The following is a 19115-nucleotide window of genomic DNA, read 5'->3' on the forward strand; positions in this document are numbered from 1 at the left end:
TAGCTGATTGACACTTGAGTTTCTTGGGTCTCTTTCTTGTGTTCTGGAATTCAGTGTACCATCTTGTTCTGTTTTATGATTAATCTTTTTGAGAGGCCTACAAAACAGATATATCACAAGTAGGAAAATTAAAAGCAAACACTGATTTATAAACAGTTCACAAAAAATCAAGAGGATACAGAAATTCCCTTTGTTCCATGATATATATTTGTTTCCCTCATGACATGGCTCCTCATTTTACCATCAGAGGGTACAAAAGCATCTTCTTAGCTCCAAGATACCTAACAGTTACAGTATACTTGACCAATTGACCAGCTTCAATGGACCCCTTTTTCCTTTGAGTTCTTTACTTTGTTTAGTTCTCCATTGTAGTAATAGCCAACATTTAAAGAGGCCTTTACTGCTCGAAAATGCTTTTACATACATTGACAAAGAGGCCCTCACAATGCCTTTGGAGCCGGTTGAACTGAATATTATTAGGTGCCCCTGTAAAGAGTGGGTCATAGAATGGTTTCACCACCATTTTTATGGATCTGGGAGATTAGGGACCATGTCAATTTGTTGTGGTTGTTGATCATGCGTTCTTTTACCACTAAAATGAAGAACAGAAAGGGACAAAAATGAGGAAAGAAGTAAGAGGAGGAGAAAATGGGAAAGAAGAAGACAGGTCATTGTGTTAAAATAACAAGTAAAACAGTTAACAGCTGGAAGCTCCAATTGGCTGGACTGAGGGCTGCAGAAGGCTGACAAGGTGGTTCCTTTTTTTTTTTGATCTATCTCAAGCCCACAAATGGCCCAAGTACATCGTTGGAGCTCTCAATTCAAAATTTGCTGCATGAACTGATGAATAGAGATGACTTAACAATGCTTCCTTCTGGATGGAGGAATTTTAGCATTTTTACATGTATAGGTCCCACTCACCTGTTCTTTTCAAAACATGATTGGTAACAAATAAAACATTCAAACAATCTAATTTTCTCCTGCCTAGACAATTTCAAACGCATTAGGAATAATATTTTTCACCAGATTGATTAAATTAATAGATTGCTTTAGTGTCATGTCTGCCATATTATAATTTGCTGAACTAATTGTTTTTCCAAATCAAAAGCAGACAGGCCCCTTGCCCTATGCACAGTAACTATGGCAAAAACTAACTAGTGGTTTTGTCCTCATGTATTCCTGACTTTTATTTTTTTAAATAGGAGATTGTGCCTGGGAAATTGCCACTGCCCTAGAAAATCTCAGCTCATTACTTTCTGTATTATTATTCACTTTGACATTTGTTTGCTACCTTTAAAGTTGCTGGGGTTTTTTTTTTTTTTTTGACTCAAGAATGTATGGCTTAGCTCACGACTAAACTGAAAATTCCTCAAGAATAATATGGACTGAATTGTGTCCCCCCCAACCTCCACCCAAAAATTCATATGCTGAAGGTTAATATGGTTTGGATTTGTGTCCCCACCCAAATCTCATGTCAAATAGTAATCTCCAATGTTGGAGGAGGGGCCTGGTGGAAGGAGATTGGATCATGGGAGCAGATTTCCTCATTGCTGTTCTCATGATAGTGAATGAGTTCTCACAAGATTTGGTTGTTTAAAAGTGTGTAGCACCTCCCCCTTCTCTCTCTTTCTTCTGCTTCTGCCATGTAGGATGTGCCTGCTTCCCCTTCACCTTCTGCCATGATTGTAAGTTTCCTGAGAACTCCCCAGCCATGCTACCTGTACAGGCTGTGGAACTGTGAGGCAATTACTACACCTCTTTTCTTTATAAAGTACGCAGTCTCAGGTATTTCTTTATAGCAGTGCTAGAAGGGACTAATACAAATATCTAACCTCTGGTTCTTCAGAATATGACTGTATTTGGACATTGGGCCTTTGGAGGCAATTGAGTTAAAATGAGGCCATTGGGTTTGGCCATAATCCAATCTGACTGGTGTCTTCATAAGAAGAGGAAATCTGCACACACAGAGAAACACCAGGGATGCACACACACAGAGGAAAGACCATGTGAGGACACAGCAAGAAGGGCAGCCATCAGCCAGATGTGGTGTCTCACGCCTGTAATCCCAGCACTTTGGGAGGCTGTGGGGGGCAGATCATTTGAGTTCAGGAGATCGAGACCAGCCTGACCAACATGGTGAGCCCCCATCTCTACTAAAAATACAAAAAACTTAGCTGAGTGTGGTGGCGCATGCCTCTAGTCCCAGGCAGGAAAATTGTTTGAATCCAGGAGGCGGAGGTTGCAGTGAGCTGAGATTGCGCCATTTCACTCCAGCCTGGGAGACAGAGCAAGACCCCGTCTCAAAAAAAAAAAAAAAAAACGCAGCCATCCACAAGACAAGGAGAAAGCCCTCAGGAGAAACCAATCCTGTGACACCTTGATCTTGGACTTCTAGCTTTCAGAACTGTGAGAAAATAAAATTTATTGTTTAAGCCACCCAGTCTGTGGTATTTTTGTTACAGCAGCCCTAGCAAATGAATATAGATAATGACATTTTATACTTCTCCAACATATTCTTGACCCATCATGCTTTATAAAATGCTCAATGCACAACTTAGACAACACTCGATACCAGTTGCATTTGTTTTTTATCTTTTATGTATTTAAAAAAATCTATTAATGAGATAATAGTTAATGTAATTGACTTCTTCTTTTTTTTTTTTTTGAGGCAGAGTCTCACTCTGTCACCCCGGCTGGAGTGCAGTGGCATGATCTCAGCTCACTGCAACCTCTGCCTCCTGGGTTCAAGTGATTCTCGTGCCTCAGCCTCCTGAGTAGCTGTGATTATAGGCACACACCACCATGCCCAGCTTATTTTTGTATTCTTAGTAGAGATGGGGTCTCACCATGTTGGCCAGGCTGATCTCAAACTCCTGACCTCAAAAGATCCACTTGCCTCGGGCTCCCAAAGTGCTGGGATTACAGGTGTGAGCCACCGTGCCCCGCTGCAATTCATTTCATTGTTTATTTTGGTTTGTTGGCAAATAGCTCTCTGTCTTTATTATGTCTAATCATTTGTTTGAATAGTAATACATGTCCATGGTAAATATTTTAGACAGTATGAAAGATTATATGATGAAAGGTAAGTGCCCCACCTCCCTCAGTTCCCTCTTTCCTTCCCTAGAGGTAACCATTATTACCGGCGTATTGTCTATCTTTCCAGATACATATTTGCTTAAAAACAGATGTGTGTGTGTACATGTGTCTAGTATATGCATCTATATTATAGATATAGAACATATTTTGGCTGGGTGCCATGGCTCATATCTGTAATCCCAGTCCTTTGAGAGGCCCAGGCAGGCGGATCACTTGAGGCCAGGAGTTCGAGACCAGCCTGGCCAACATGACAAAACCCTTCCGCTACTAAAAATACAAAACTTAGCCAGGTGTGGTGGCATGTGCCTGTAGTTCCAGCTACTTGGTAGGCTGAGGCACAAGAATCGCTTGAATCTGGGAGGTGGAGGTTGCAGTGAGCTGAGATCACGCCACTGCACTCCAGCCTGGGTGACAGAGTGACACTCTGTGTCAAAAAAGAAAAGGAAAAAGAACATATTTTAATGCAAATATATAGTTTATGTAAATCTCTCTATAAATGCATATATAAATATGCATCCCCTTCTCGATTTTCTTTTTTGTTTTATTCTGTTTTTAAATTATGACAGCATAATATGCATGTTTCTACTTTTTAAAGAGAGCTAACAGTATATCTTGGGAATTGTTCCATATGGGACATACAAACACATATTGTTCTTTGTAATTTTGGGGTTGCATTTATTTTAAGTGTATGGTCCTCCCTGCTTCCTCTACCCTAACATGCACTCACATGGAGAACAAGCAGGAAGTACAAATACAAATAAAGAGGTTTATTCTCGCTGCTACTTCTTGATAGAAGTATTTGAGTGACAAATTTAACCAGATGATCAAGCTGGAAGCATTAAACAAGAGGGCACAACTTTTAGACAGTCCAAATGAGCAGGAATATTGCAGCGAGACTTTCTCTGACCGACCCCACATGTTTCCAGTCACTATACTAACTGCAGGCACACCAGCAATCATATTTACAGCCTAGTTCAGCCCCAAATTTATTGTGCAATTACTATTGTACCAAGAAAATGGAAATAACTAAAAAAGAAACAGACATAAATCTACCACACTAGAAAACCAAGGTGTTTTTTCTTGTTCCCTATTAGTTATTGCTTGCTTTTATACATACTTTGATCATTTTAATTACAAATCAGAACAATTATGTATTCTGCTTTTGTCTCTTAAACTGAATCATAAACATTGCTATTTGTTACCATGTTTACTTAATAACTTTATGTGCTTGTGTAATAGTCCATGTAGTCACTGGATTGTTTCCTCTCACTTTTAAAAAGAAAAACTGTACTATCTGAGCTATAGTTAAAAATCATAACTTACAAGAAGCTGGGCGCAGTGGCTCATGCCTATAATCCCAGCACTTTGGGAGGCTGAGGTGGGTGGATCACCTGATGTCAGGAGTTCGAGACCAACCTGGCCAACATGGTGAAACCCCATCTCTACTAAAAATGTAAAAATTAGCCAGGTGTAGTGGCGTGCACCTGTAGTCCCAGCTACTTGAGAGGCTGAGGCAGGAGAATTACTTGAACCTGGGAGGCAGAGACTGCAGTTAGCCGAGATCGTGCCACCGCACTCCAGCCTGGGTGACAGAGCGAAATTACATCTCAAAAAAAAAAAAAATTACAAGAAAATTAATCTGACATATATTTAATAATACACATGTTATTGAGCTACATGGTAATTAACTATAAAATGGAGAGCATTGCCTATAAAAAATTATAACTAACATTGTCTATACTCTGTGAAATAAAAACTTTCTAGGGGAGGTGCTGTAAAGAGGAAACTGTTCAGATGCCCTCCTGAAGAAGAAATAGACTTTTCTATACCTTTACGGAAATGAGCCTGCAAATTCTTTTTCTCCATTCCTGTAGCTGAAACTCTGCTTGCACAGAGGTAGAAGGAGCACAGTGGCATGCCTCAATCAGATTAGGTTAATCAGGTTGATTTTCTAGCAACTAGCTAAAAGTGTCAATGACTAATGGCCTTCTTTAATTAATTAACTTAATCAGCAAATATTTATTGGGCATTTATTATGTGCTGGATGTGGCATACATAGGGAAAAAATAACCGAGACCTCTGCTCCCTTACAGTTTACAATCTAGACAAGGTATAGCATAGTAATCAAATAAGCAATAAATAAAATAATGACAACTTTTAGTAATTATTAAGAAAGATTCAGGGCACTATCACAGATAGCAATGAAGTTGGGAAATTCTTTACATAGCGAATGAGAGGAGGCTTCTCTGTAAGAGTAAGTCACGTTGACACTGAAACTTGATGGAGAGGAAAGAGTCAGCCACACAAAGAGCAGGGGAAATAGGGGCCAGCAGGAGCAAAGGCTCTGAGGCATGGTGTATGCTTGAGATGACTAAGACCACTGGGACTGTGGTGCAGGGGGCAGCAGGCAACGTGGCCTGGGCGAGGTGGAGAGGAGGGCATGGGTCTTACCATGCACGGCCCAGAACACCACGGCGGGAGCCTGAATTTCATTCAAGGTACAATGCAAAGCCAGGTAAAAGTCTTAAGCAGGAGAATGGTGTAATTCAAATCGTGTTTTAAAAAGAACTTTTGGCCACTGCGTGGACGACAGATTGGAGGAGGGCAAGAATGGAAGTTGAAGGAATAATTAGAAGGTCGTTGGTGTTGCTGCACGAGAAGAGACCTTGGCTGGAATCTGAGTGGTGGCAGTGGAAGTGGAGACTAATCACGGGTATGGGGGCTGGAGCTGCTGGCTGAAAGGACTGTGAAGAATGAGAGAAAAGCAAGTTGCCAATCATGACTCCCAGGTTTCCAGGCAAGCTCCACATTTAGAAGTGAGAGGCAGGAAGGCAAGAGGTCTCTCCTGGATATTTAAGTTGGAGATGCCTTGTGGGACATCCGAATGGAACTATCCGCGTGGCAGTGAGATATAGGAGTCTCAGGTCGATATTATCAGCCTGGCAATATTCAAAGCCCGAGGACTGGATGAGACTCAAGGAGAGTGTGTAGTTGGGGAAAAGAAGGAGCCCAGGACTGAGTCAGTAACTTCTCAGAGATGTGCAATCATGACCAGAAGTAAATCCCCAACTGGTGGAAAGTCAAGCTCTCTGATGATTTGTAGTGTATGTTTTTACTATTAAATAATCCCTCAGTGGTCAGAGAAACTATCCAGAGAAATTATTTTCTTTCAGGTCTTTCAGTTTCTCTCTGCCTACCTCTCCTAGTTCTGGTATCACCTAACCCTTAGGGATCCTCCTACAGGGAAAGAGGGGGAAATGTGGGTAAGGTTTTTCATGCTCTGTGACCATGTAGGCTGTCACCTTAAGTGGTTCTTTGATCAAGGGAAACCCATCAGGTCTCAGTCAATCCAAGAGATGATATGTTTGCTTTGGAAAAGAAAGCGATCTAACATTTAAAATCTCTCCAACTGGAAAATGAAATGGAATATTTCCAGGCTTCCAAGCATGCATATGCCCAGAAATACCCTACTAATGCTGCACTTTCCTCTACTCTGAAGAAATTAGATAGACTTATTTCCCAGGATTACGTTTAGTTTGAGACACTGCATCTGTAAAGGCTCAGTTCATGCTATATTGTGAATGACCATAAAAAAGGCAGGAGGCCCTGTAAATTAGGGTTACAGGTTTTGTATTGGCATAGGAAACCCAAATTCTACATTTAAGCCACCGCCTCCTCATGGCCAAATAACAACAGACTGAAATATGTGTTAAATAATGGATAAAGCTTGCTCTTCTGTAAAGATTGATTTTAAGGACAAGAACTAGAGGATGCTATGAATTCAGTGGGAAAAGACACTGTTTAATCTTTTCTGAAAAATATCTGATGAGACAAACACACGTTATTTTCTGATTATGCCTCCTCTCCGTCTGACATTTTGTGCCTGATTTATGTAAAGAAGTGTTTCAATGCACTGTTTGTGATTTCAGTGAATTGAGGCAAAAACTCTTTTTCCTAGAATGTCAAGATTCATAGATTTTTGGGTCAGAAAGAGCTTTTGAGAGAATTCAGGCCATCTCTCTTATTTTCTGAAAATGAAAAGAGAGAGATAAAGGACCTGGCCAAAATTAACACTGTGATTAGAGAGATAGGCCTGCCATCCAGAACTCATGCATGATTGACAACACTGCTTTTCCCACAATTTGAATTCAAACCCATAGAAAACTGCTACTGAAACAATGAAGTAGAATTTCAGTTTTTTGGTTAACTGTTCATTTTTTACAAGGTTGAACTTTATTCTAAAAAAACTAATCGTATTAAAAATGTTGGGGGTCCAGAAACAGTAGCTTATGCCTGTAATGCCAGCACTTTGGGAGGCTAAGATATGAGGGTTGCTTTAGGCCAGGAGTTCAAGACCAGCCTTGGCAACTTAAAGAAACCTTGTCTCTACAAAAATAATAATAATAAAAATTTTTTGGAACATAAGAAAAAGAAAAAAATCACATGCATGCAATCACTGTTAGCATTTTAATGTATTTCCTTCTAGATTTTCTTTTCTGGGCATATTTAAACATGATGATTATTTAGTGTATACTTAATTTCATGTTTTCCGTTAATATAAGCATTTCTAATGGATGCAGAATGTTCTTGCAAATGAATATGCTATAATTTATTGAATCTTTCTGTGGTTGTTGGGCATTTAGGATGATTCCAATTATTTGCTATTATACATAACAATGTTGTATGATATATAAACATCTTATGACATATAGCTTTTTCGATAGATTATACCCTTAATATGGAACTTCAGAAATAGAATTAGAGAGTCATGGATTTTACTACTAAAATTGCCACAGAGTCAGCCCAGTTCAATATATCTTCTGCCAAAGCAAGCACTACAACATTAAATATTAACATTAAAAATATGTGCCAGTTTCCTCATTGAAAATGGCACTTGTTTGAGTTCTTGTTTCTTTTAGGGCTGAGTTCACTCTTTCTACCTTAACCATTTTAGCTTTTTAAATTGCTTATCATTCCCTGAACACAACAGCCTAGTCCATAGATCTTGTTTACAGTTCTCTCTTGCTAAAATTGGAACCCTTTGTGGATGAGGTTTGTGTTCTACTAATCTACATATTTTCAGGATCTTGTGTGGTACTTGGCACAGAGTGGGTGCTTAATAAGTATTTAACAAATGAATGAATAAATGAACGAGTAAATAAAGTTGAACATTCCCCCCATGTTTGTTTAGTAACTGTGATTTCTTTCTTTATTTTATTTTATTTTTTTCAAGACAGAGTCTCACTCTGTCGCCCAGGCCAGGCTGGAGTGCAGCAGCGCAATCTCGGCTCACTGCAACCTCTGCCTCCTGGATTCAAGTGATTCTCTTGTGTCAGCCTCCTGAGTAGCTGGGATTACAGGTGTGCACCACCACTCCTGGCTAATTTTTGTATTTTTAGCAGAGACAGCGTTTCACCGTGTTGGCCAGGCTGGTCTCAAACATCTGACCTCAGGTGATCCGTGCGCCTCAGCCTCCCAAAGCGCTGGGATTACAGGCATGAGCCACCACGCTGGGCAGTAACTGTGATTTCTGGATGCATCATTTGGTTTATGTCCTTTGTCCATCTACTTGTTGGTATCAGATTTTTATTAGTTTTTATTAGTGTTTGAAAATAAGAGGATATTTACACTTCACTTGTCACATTTGGGTTAATAATTCTTTCTAGTCTATGGTTTGCTTATTATTTTCTGTGGGTCTGATATTAAAGGGGAAAAATAAAGGGCAGAAGTTAGGCTAATAAAAGTGTCATCTAGTGCATTTTCTCTACCTCAGAAGGTGGGGAACAATGAAAGTGCTCGTGCAGAGAGAAATGAGTTCTGTGAAAATTAGACAATTTGGTTACTCTATTTAAACAGACCACATGGGGTTGTTCATGTGAAAACAAATGTGTTGACCACATTTCAGGCCCTCTGAAGCTGAAAATGTCAACCAACCCCTGTGTGCAGAGAAAAAGAAATTCCACTCATCCGTACAGAGAGGTTGGTTTCAATTAAAAACCACACCGAGTGTGGCTGAGTAATTTCTTAATGTATTCCATTTGTAAATGAGAAGTGAAAAACACTCATTAGTAATTCTTGAATCCTTGGTGAATCAGCAATGTCCGCAGAAAACAAACATATACCACTCTGCTTACATTGAAAGGAGAACAAAGACACACCTTTTTTTCCTTTGTCTTTCAGAAATGCTTTTCATGTTTTAAAAAAATATATAAAAAATGGTATCATCACGTTGTCCCTCTGGGTCTGTTGTTGCATTTGCAAATTTTAATACTTTTCTGGTTAATATTTTATAAAGTGGATGCACTCATAAAATAGAAGTTGTCAGGAGCCTTCGGGATAATATCAGCCCCCTCTGGTCACCTAGGGTGAAAGCTGAAGCCACATGGCTGGAAATAAAGAAGTTCCATTTCCCAAAATTTGGGGACTTATTCTCTGGCAGGAGATTCACAGGCAAAAAGCCAAAACCAAAGCCCCCAAACAACCATTTTCCCTGCTGGAAAAAAGCTTCTCGAGGCTAGGGATTCATAATGGACACATCAACGTGCCCCCAGAACAGGTCCAGCACCGAGGAGGTGGTTCTGAACACACGTTAGAAAGAATAAACCACTGGGGCAGCCCGGTCATGAACTGTGAGCTGGATATTTCCCATGTGTGCCCCTAGATCCACTCTCCACCCTCAACCTGCTGCTCTCTGCCCTAGGCTGACCCCATAGGCCACTTCAATGGGATACCTTGACCTCTGGCTTATCAGGTAACTTCAGCCTATGAGGCGCCCCAGAGGAGTTTGGAGGGAAGAAGCAGATGAGGCTGGGGTGTTTATTCTTTTGACTTCTCCCCTGTGGAATGGCCTCCAGTGGGGCTTTCTGGAGGTCACAGCTCCACACCTCCTGCCAAGTAGACCCTCTCCTAGTGATCCTCCCTTACCTGGTTCTTGTAACACTCTGACCTTCATCCTAGGAGTACTGTGCTATCCCATACTCTGCCTACACCTTCATAAATGTCCCTTTATTATGCTGTCCTTGAATTGCCCTAATTTCAATGTGCCATCTATTTTTTTTCTGGGACATGACCAATACAGACATTGATAGACATATTCATGTTGGTTTAATGGCTGCGTCCTAAAATTCAACCTGCAATCTGCTCAACAAGCTGTGTACCCCAGAGGTTGAGGTGCCTTTTCCTAATGCTTACCCAGGAGAGATTAGGCTGGTGCCTTGGGCTGAATGTATGTATATGAGCCTCAACTTTAAACTAAGTTGAAAAGAACTAAGTTAAAAAAAAATTCTGAGGGGCCAGGTGCGGTGGCTCGTTCTTGTAATCCCAGCACTTTGGGAGGCCAAGGTGGGCAGATCGTGAGGTCAGGAGTTTGAGACCAGCCTGGCCAGCATGGTGAAACCCGTCTCTACTAAAAATACGAAAATTAGCTGGGTGTGGTGGTGGGTGCCTGTAATCCCAGCCACTTGGGAGGCTGAGGCAGGAGAATCTCTTGAATCCGGGAGGTGGAGGTTGCAGTGAGCTGAGACTGCGCCATTGCACTACAGCCTGGGTGACAGAGCGAGACTCCACCTCAAAAAAAGAAAAAAAAAGGAAAAAAAATATCTCAGAGATTCATTTTCTCTTCTTTGCCCCTTCTGTGAGTTGTGGCTTTTGCTTGCAGCCTGAGCAAGTCATCTCTATCCAAGCTGCAGCCACAGAAGCAGAAACAAAGGGGACTCCAATTGGTCTCCAAGGACTGACTACTTTGGCTGATCCTACAGAAGCAGAAAGACCACAAACCAAAGACAACAGTCCCTCTGGTCATTTGGTGATTTGTGGCTGTTTTTACCTGTTCTTTTGGTTGTGTTTTCATGCAGATCTGCCCTCTTCAACTCACTGGAGCGTTGTGTGATACAGGACCAGCTGCATGTCTGCAGAACCTGTTTTCATTTCTGTCTTTAGCATAGATGATAGAAATGACTCTAAAGGACAAAGTATACCTCAATGCAATAAAACCATCTGCCCTATCTAATTTCCCCTCCCTTCAGGGATGTGAGACCCAGTCTTGTGGGGTGTGTTTAGAGTCTCAGCTTCTTTATTGTTCAAATTTCCTTGCCAACCATTGCTGGTGATTTTAACTGACTTCACAACTTCTGCCTCAGTACTCGGAATGCTCTCCAGTAAAGATACAGCAAATTGCACATGGAAAAGCAATGTGTCACTCCGTTCAATGTTTCTGTCTTCAATGACTGAGGGTGTGTTGCATATGGTGAATAAAGGAGACATTCATCTTTCCTCATCCACATAAAGGAATTGGCAGTTAACTGGGTTACTAGACCAGGCTAAGGCCTCTAAATCTGACTTGATTGTTCAGTTCACATATTGCTTCCCATTTTTCTCTTCCCTGTGCATTCAGAAACCCATCTAATCCTGACTATTAAGCTCTTTGTACAGCGTGAGCTTTCCCCTATAATGCTAAACTCAAGCTGATTTTAGATGAGAATCCAACAGATCCTTTCAAGCAGCACTCAATTCAGTGAAATCTCCATCTGCAGACAGTCCTTGCTGCTGAAAGAGACTGGCTAGATTTGAGCAGCAATAATTACTTTCAAACGAATTTCCCATCTCCAGGTGTTTGCATCTCACTAATTATTTTCAAGGTAAATTGATTTTGCTTGGCAGTATCTTCCACTTCCACCTTGCAATAAGCAATTTAACATGAAATTGCTGACCTATAATTGTTCTACCCAACCATGAATTCCTAATCCTTCTGCAATTTATAGTTATGTAGTCTTTGAGCTGCAACTGAGTTTTCCACCAGCGTAATAATCACTTCCTTTATTTTTACCTATAACAAGCAGCTGGATTAGTGTAGTGCATGGGAGAGCTTCAGCTAGTCACTGAAAATTACAGAATATCAATAGCTATTGACGTGGGTGGCAACATATTACAAAATGGAACTGTAGATCATTTGGGGAAAATATTTTGATGAAATTCACCCCTCTGGGTGATGTGCTGAATCTTAAACCAGAAAGAAAGAACATCAAACCAAACAAAAAAGGTTATTTTTTTCCTTTGAATGGACAGATAGCAACATCTTTAAATGCTAAATAAAGTAGCCCTGAGCTTCTGAGGGTGCCCCTCAGGGACTATTGTCTGAACTGTCAATCAAGTCTCTTGGATTTCTGCCCTCAATGCTTCTTTCCTTTTCCAGCTTTCCTTCAAATGTTCAGCAGTGATAAATAGAGAGTTGTTTGTCTTTTATTTCAAATGCCTTCCTTATAATATCAGAGCTATGTTAGCATCATTTACAAATCAATCTAGCAGGATGGCTTAATGTCATCACAATTTTATGGCAGCCAGTGATATCCAAACTATCTCTAGAGTCTTGATTTATTTCTGTTTGGCTCTAAATTAGGTTATTTCTCCTCCAAAGGTTACCAAGTGCTTTAGAAACTGATGCCCTGATGCCCCTTACTCCCACACGTGAGAGAAATGCCTCCAGGGTCAGGATGAAGAGCTCACCACCCAGCAGGAGAGAAGATGAGCAAGTTAAGCAGTGCCCAGCCTTTAAGAAGTGTCTCCCACAGTGAGGTTGGAGTTCTGAGGAAGGAGAGGGGAGAGCTGACTTTGGCTAGACTCCAGCAGTTCTCAACCAGAGGCAATTTTGTCCTCCAGGGGACATTTGCCAATGTCTGGAGACATTTTTGGTTCGCACAACTTCAGGGAGGGAGTGCTAGGCACAAAATGAGGGAGGCCACACACTGGGGATGGCGGACAGATGTTTAATTTCCTCCCTCGCCAGCTCTTCCTCATCTCCATATGTGCAAATGTTCCCATCATCCAAGGTCTGGGTCATGCACATCCTCTCCACACCCTCCTCTTCCATTGCCAACCTCCCATCCTGTCTGTGTAGCCCAGTGTTTCTCAGCTGGGCACCACTGACATTTTGGGCTGGCTAAGTCTCGGTTGTAGGTGCTAGGGGGGGATCCTCTGCATCGCAGGATGTTTACAGCTCTCCTGACCTCTGTAAGCCACTCCTCATTTTGAACCCCACTTTCCTCATCTGTTAAGTGAGTTCATCATTCAGACAGCAAATATCTATTGAAACTCTACTTTGTCCTAGGAGCTGTCTTAGGCATTGGGGACACCAGAGTGAACAAGAAAATGTCTCCACTTATAGTGAGTTTACACTCTGCTGGGGGTTACAAATAATAAACACACAAGGAAATGAAAAATTAATATCTTATTAGACGGAGAAAAGAGCTATGAACAACAATAAAGCAAGTTTCAGATGGAGAGTCTCAGAACCTACTCTTTTAGCCAGGAACACCAGGGAGGGCCATTCTGAGAAGGTGACATTTTAGTACTCCGAAATGGAACAAGCCATGGAACAGCTTTCTTCAGTTCCAAAGTTCCTTTTTTCTGCCTCTGTTCACATAATTGCTCAGCTTGCACTTACCGCCTTCTTTGTCACTTGTTTTGCCTGACTTCGGCCTCCCCACAAGGGGCCCAGCTTTGATTCTCTGCTCTTTCTTGACCTCTGGTCCCTTGAATTCTTTGGCTGGAGCACCTTCCCAATAGGCATTCCCAGTCTTCACTGTGATCTCCATCTAGCTGCTAGCCCTGAGTCCACAGGCCCTGTTTGCAATTATGGGGCAGCCAATGTATTTTTTGGGCCCACTGATTAATAGACTGTTAGTGATGAGAACTGTGTATAGTTTGTACACACACACACACACACACACACACACATTTTTTCTTGATGCTGTAACGTATGAATGGCAAATACTAGGAACAGTTGCCATCAGTCAATTCTCTTTCTCATAACTATGTCAGATCAGATACTCATAATTGATGATCATGACTGTCCTACCATCCAATAGTAATTGCCATGGAAGATGAAACCCTGGCTCAAAGGTGCCATGTATTGCCTTAAAAAGTAGCTTGAAATAGATATATGCTGCCAGAGCAGTTTACCAGGAATGGAGAAACTTTCCATCTGCAGTCAGAGGGCCAGGCCTCAGCTTCGCTGCCATAAGAAAATTGGAAATTTCTCTCCTACCACATATAGTTTTAATTACCAAGTTAATTACTAAGAAATTTGCACACCATTCTGTAGTAAAAACAGGAAGTCATCATAGTTTACCGATGGCTAAGTAACATGAGTAGAGCTGTTTTTCGGGAAGATCGATCTTGCAACCACATGTAGGATGAATGGCTGGGGTGTGGCAAAGAGAACACCTTAGATAAGGTGTGCAGACTTGGAGAGGGCTCCAGGGTAGGAGGTCCCAGACTGCCTCTCTCTGGTCTTGGAACAGGCAAGCTGTGGGACTGAGCAAAAGTTTTTATATTCCAAAGGACTCTGAATTTGGCTGTCTTTGCACAAGTCCAAGGCCCACAACATTGGAAGAAGCAGGGCTTCCTTGGAGACCAAATTGATCACCACACAGCATATGCAGCAGTCTGAATGGAAATGTGCCTGCTACCAGGAATTAATTACCATCTAATTTGCATAACCTGTTGATTAATTGTGCTCATGGCCAAAAGTCCAAGCCAAAGCTCCTCACCTGAGAGCTGATGATGCTTTTCCACTTGCTTTGGGAAAACACAAGTCCAAGGTTAGAAGTGCTTTACTAAGCCCAGACCACCCAAGTCAGTGCAACAAGGGAAGAGGTCAGGAAGTTTCTCACCCTCCATCCTCCATCTCCCACCCCAGGCTTCCACTCTGAGAAGATGTCCAGAATGTGGCCGACCATTGGAGTGCAAACTGTTATTTATTTATGAGGCTGACAGGACATTTCAACTAAACACCAATTTACCAAGTATTTTGGTATAAAAAGGAAATATATTTACTATAGATAATTAAAGATTCTAAAATCCAATAGCACTCCATGGAGTACACTAATTATAATCAAAACAATTTGTAATGAAGGAAAGGGAAATGAATAAGCACAAATCTGTCATATATTGGAGCCTCAGGAGTAACTTCATTGCTATTAACTGACAGACAACACTCGAAGCCAAACGTAGCAGATGTCTGCCTAGAGAAATAAGGGACTTGGAGATGCTGTGTTGGCAAGCTGGTGTCTTATCCCTCTGCTAAATTAGATTTGGGCCTTCTCCTAAAGACCTAAGGTCCTGGCCTGACTTCAGAAAAGATGACTATCAGCAAGCTGGCCCCTGGTCTACAGAGGAGTGTAACTGTCGCCTGATCTCAGATTAGTGACTATAATTTCCTCCTGTTTTCACAAGAAAGGCTTCAGTTTTAATGGGGTGAAATTCGGAAATGCCTGGGTATTTACTGGACACTAAGCTCTATGGAAAATGAAGCCACTTGGAGTACCATGATGGCCCAGGCTGGATTCACTGTGGGCCACATCCAAGCAGTCGGTCTGAACTGGAAAGAAGTTTAAAGATTTTCCTGGGGAAAGTGGCTCAGCCTAGATAACATGAGTGGTTGATGGAGGCAGATAAGAGTTTTCCCAGAACCAACTGGTCTTCCGAGGTTGGGTTACAGCATGCAGAACCCAACAATGCTGGTACATTCTCCCAGAACCAGTGTTGGACCAGGTACTAATGATTTAAGTCTCAACAGAGGCTTGAAAACGATGGGGCAAGATTGAGTTTTGTTGTAGGAGATAGTGAAACCCAGAATGTGGGAATGTTGTGGGGTGACAGAGTTAATTTTACAGCTAAGATCATGCTTGTGCCATGCTTGAACATCCTGAGATGTCACCCTCTCCATTCATTTCAGAATTACTCTGCATTGTATTACCAGCCAATGCTTCCTGCTCCTTCTCATTTATTCATGAATAAATTTCACCACAGGAGATTCCAAAGACAATATTTATTAGAAAAATTTTTATTATCAGAAGCTGATATAATAGTCACAGGGATGAGACTTAGACATGGATTCCCTGACCATGGCCCAGTGATGGGGCCTCCTTCTCTCTTTCCCACCCTGCTGTAACAGAGACAACTACTTTACCAGGACCTATGTGTTGCTGTTGGCAATGACTACATTAATAGACTGTTAGTGATGAGGAGAACACAGTATAGTTTGTGATTATGTACACACACACACACGCACACTTTTTCTTCTTGATTCTATAATGTATGAATGGCAAATACTAGGAACAGTTGCCATCAATCAATTCCCTTTCTCAAAACTGTGTCAGATCAGATATTCATAATTAATGATCATGACTGTCCTACCATCCAATAGTAATTGCCATGGAGGATGAAACCCTGCCTCAAAGGTGCCATGTATTGCCTTAAGAAGTAGCTTGAAATAGATATATGCTGCCAGAGCAGTTTACCAGGAATGGAGAAATCTCCCAACTGCAGTCAGAGGGCCAGGCCTCAGCTTCACTGCCATAAGAAAATTGGAAAATTTTCCCCTATTACACCTAGTTTTAAGTAAGTTAATTACTAAGAAACTAGCCCATCATTCTGTAGTAAAAACAGGAAGTCATCATAGTTTTTTGATGGGTAAGTAATGTTATTAGAGCTGTTTTTCAGTAAGATTGATCTTGCAACTACATGGAGGATGAATGGCTGAGGTGCGGCAGAGAGAATACCTTACATAAGGTGTGCCGACTTGGAGAGGGCTCCAGGGTAGGAGGTCCCAGACTGCCTCTCTCTGGTCTTGGACCAGGCAAGCTGTGGGACTGAGCAAAAGTTTTTATATTCCAAAGGACTCTGAATTTGGCTGTCTTTGCACAAGTCCAAGGCCCATAACATTGTGAGCTCCCCTTATCCTACACACATGGCCCACCTGTACGGGGCTTACACCTGTGCTGAGACCACACCCCTGCCTTCCCTCCACAGCTGCAGCACCAGCCAACCAGAGCAGAAGGGTCTAGGAGACCACAGCTACCCCTTTGTGCCTGGCTGATTTTAGTGAAAGATGCTTTGTGTGTTCATTGAGGCATCACTGTGTCATCTCTGCACAAAGAGGTTTCCTATGTCAGATGAACCCTTTCTTTGATGCCTTCCCCTCCCCTTTCTGACAATGCATTGACTGAGGCAAGCCATTTGAAACATCCTCCAGGGAGACAATGTGCCTTGGAGCCTGTGACCCAGTTATGGCTGGGGGTTGGGGACCCAGACCCTTGGAAGCCAGGCCACAGTGAGACCTCAGGATGGTCCCACAGCACCTCTAGGGTTCCCCTTGTACTCATCAGGCTCCTTGCTTAGACATGACTTTTGACTGCAAAACGGAGCTGGCCTATCGGCAGAGAGAGTTTGAAGCTTCTCATGGTGTTTACATTAGTTTGTCTAAACAGACCCAGAAAGAAAATTGCTTCTGTGCTTAACAAATGAGAAAAAGAAAGACAACAAAGGAGAGTTGATTCCCAAAGAATGTAAGATAGAGTCCCAGCAATGGAGCCTGAGCTTCAGCTGTTAGGAAAGCTAGCTCCATTCCTTATCACAAGAGGGTGGAGACAGCCCAGAGCCTGACTCCCCAAGACCTTTCTCTTCTCCTGTCTCCAAAATGGTCTGAGCTGACAAGGGAGAGTACGTAAAATGGTGTTCTGGCAGACAAGTTCTCTTAACTGTAAGGGGCATGTTTAGAAAATGGAAAAGAGACAATGGCTGACTCAATAGGACCTCTGCCCAGGGCCACAGTGGCACCAGCCCAAGGCTGTGTCCAGTCAACACCCCAGAAAGTTCTGTCAGACCTCTGGTGGAGAAACAAAGTGTCATGTCACACAAAAGGTGTCACTCTCTCAGGAGGCTGGAAAAATGAATGTGCAGATTTCTTGGGGGAGGCTGTGGTGTTGTTGAACTCATGCACATGGCAGAGCACAGCTGCCCAGAGAGGCTTATTCTGTGGAATTTGAGTTGAGGTGGATGCCGACTGGATAGCTCATGGCCCTCTACAGAGCTTGTGGCTGCACTCAGCCACCTCCTTCCTGGACTAACTCTCTTGCTATTGCTGCTTAGCAAATGAATCTTGGCTACAAGCGCATGTTGAGCTGGAGCCATCTTGAGTCTGCAAGGGCACTCGGGCTGCAAATTCACATTCTCTCCTACAGGCTCCTGCTCCCGCCCACTCTCCTTCCATTCCTGCTTCCCATTCCCTCTTCCCCCTGTCTTCTGTCTTCACCTTAACAGTATTCTACTCCCCTCCCCCATTTTCCCCTCCTCTTCTGAATTGACCACTTCCCTCTTTCTAGAACTTAACAAGTATTTTGGAAAGCATTTTTTTTTGTATGTGCATGCCAAGAATAAGGAGGACCGGGACCCAGGAGCAGCTCTGTCATTTAGCCAGCTGAATCACCTTGGACAAGCCACCTGGACCCCAGTCTGCCACATGGTCTATATGTTTACTTAAGCTTTTGAATGAGTAATAATATGGCACCAACAGTTAGAAGTTTTTTTTTTTTTTGACACTGTTTCGTTCTGTAGCCCAGGCTGGAGTGCAGTGGTGCGATCTCGGCTCACTGCAACCTCAGCCTCCTGGGTTCAAGCAATTCTCCTTCCTCGGCCTCCCGGGTAGCTGGGACTACAGGCGCACGCCACCATGCCTGGCTAATTGTTTGTATTTTTAGTAGAGAGGGGGTTTCACCATGTTAACCAGGATGGTGTGGATCTCCTGACCTCGTGATCGGCCCGCCTCAGCCTCCCAAAGTGCTGGGATTACAGGTGTGAGCCACCGTGCCCAGCCTAGTTAAAAGTTTTATAGTGAAAATTCTGCCTCGCATCCCCAGCCATGCAGTTCCCCTCTCTATAGGCAAACAAGATGAAAGTCATACCTGTTATAAGCAAACACACACACACACACACACACACACACACACACACACATATACTCTTAGCCTTTTTCTCCATTTTCACACAAACAGTAGCATACCATAGGCACAGCTTAGCACCTTGGGTTCTTCATCTAAGGTATCTCAGAGATCTTTCCATATCAGCACATGGAGAGCTACCTCAGTCTTCCTTACAGGTGCTTAGCATTCCATTGAACATCAGTCCTCTCCTGATGGTTACTGAAGCTGCTTCCAGTGTTGTACTCTGCTGCCGTGTTGCAG

The 19115-nt window shown here is 42.4% G+C and overlaps 1 long non-coding RNA gene across 2 annotated transcripts in view, besides 3 other annotated features; it reads left to right on the forward strand.

Annotated features, from left to right (window-relative positions):
• The window catches only part of SLC7A14-AS1 (SLC7A14 antisense RNA 1), a 287921-nt gene that overhangs the window by 156646 nt on the left and 112160 nt on the right, over positions 1 to 19115 (forward strand). The gene's annotated exons all lie outside the window — the stretch shown is intronic.
• Positions 9074 to 9123: an enhancer, noted in NCBI's record as "active region_20804". NCBI's record gives its function as "activates an Ori minimal core promoter by ATAC-STARR-seq in GM12878 lymphoblastoid cells {active_cell/tissue: GM12878}" and the evidence as "EXISTENCE:reporter gene assay evidence [ECO:0000049][PMID:35858748]".
• Positions 9184 to 9263: an enhancer, noted in NCBI's record as "active region_20805". NCBI's record gives its function as "activates an Ori minimal core promoter by ATAC-STARR-seq in GM12878 lymphoblastoid cells {active_cell/tissue: GM12878}" and the evidence as "EXISTENCE:reporter gene assay evidence [ECO:0000049][PMID:35858748]".
• Positions 10585 to 10794: an enhancer, noted in NCBI's record as "active region_20806". NCBI's record gives its function as "activates an Ori minimal core promoter by ATAC-STARR-seq in GM12878 lymphoblastoid cells {active_cell/tissue: GM12878}" and the evidence as "EXISTENCE:reporter gene assay evidence [ECO:0000049][PMID:35858748]".

The sequence above is a fragment of the Homo sapiens genome, chromosome 3 (assembly GCF_000001405.40).
Source record: "Homo sapiens chromosome 3, GRCh38.p14 Primary Assembly".
Lineage (NCBI taxonomy): Eukaryota > Metazoa > Chordata > Mammalia > Primates > Hominidae > Homo > Homo sapiens.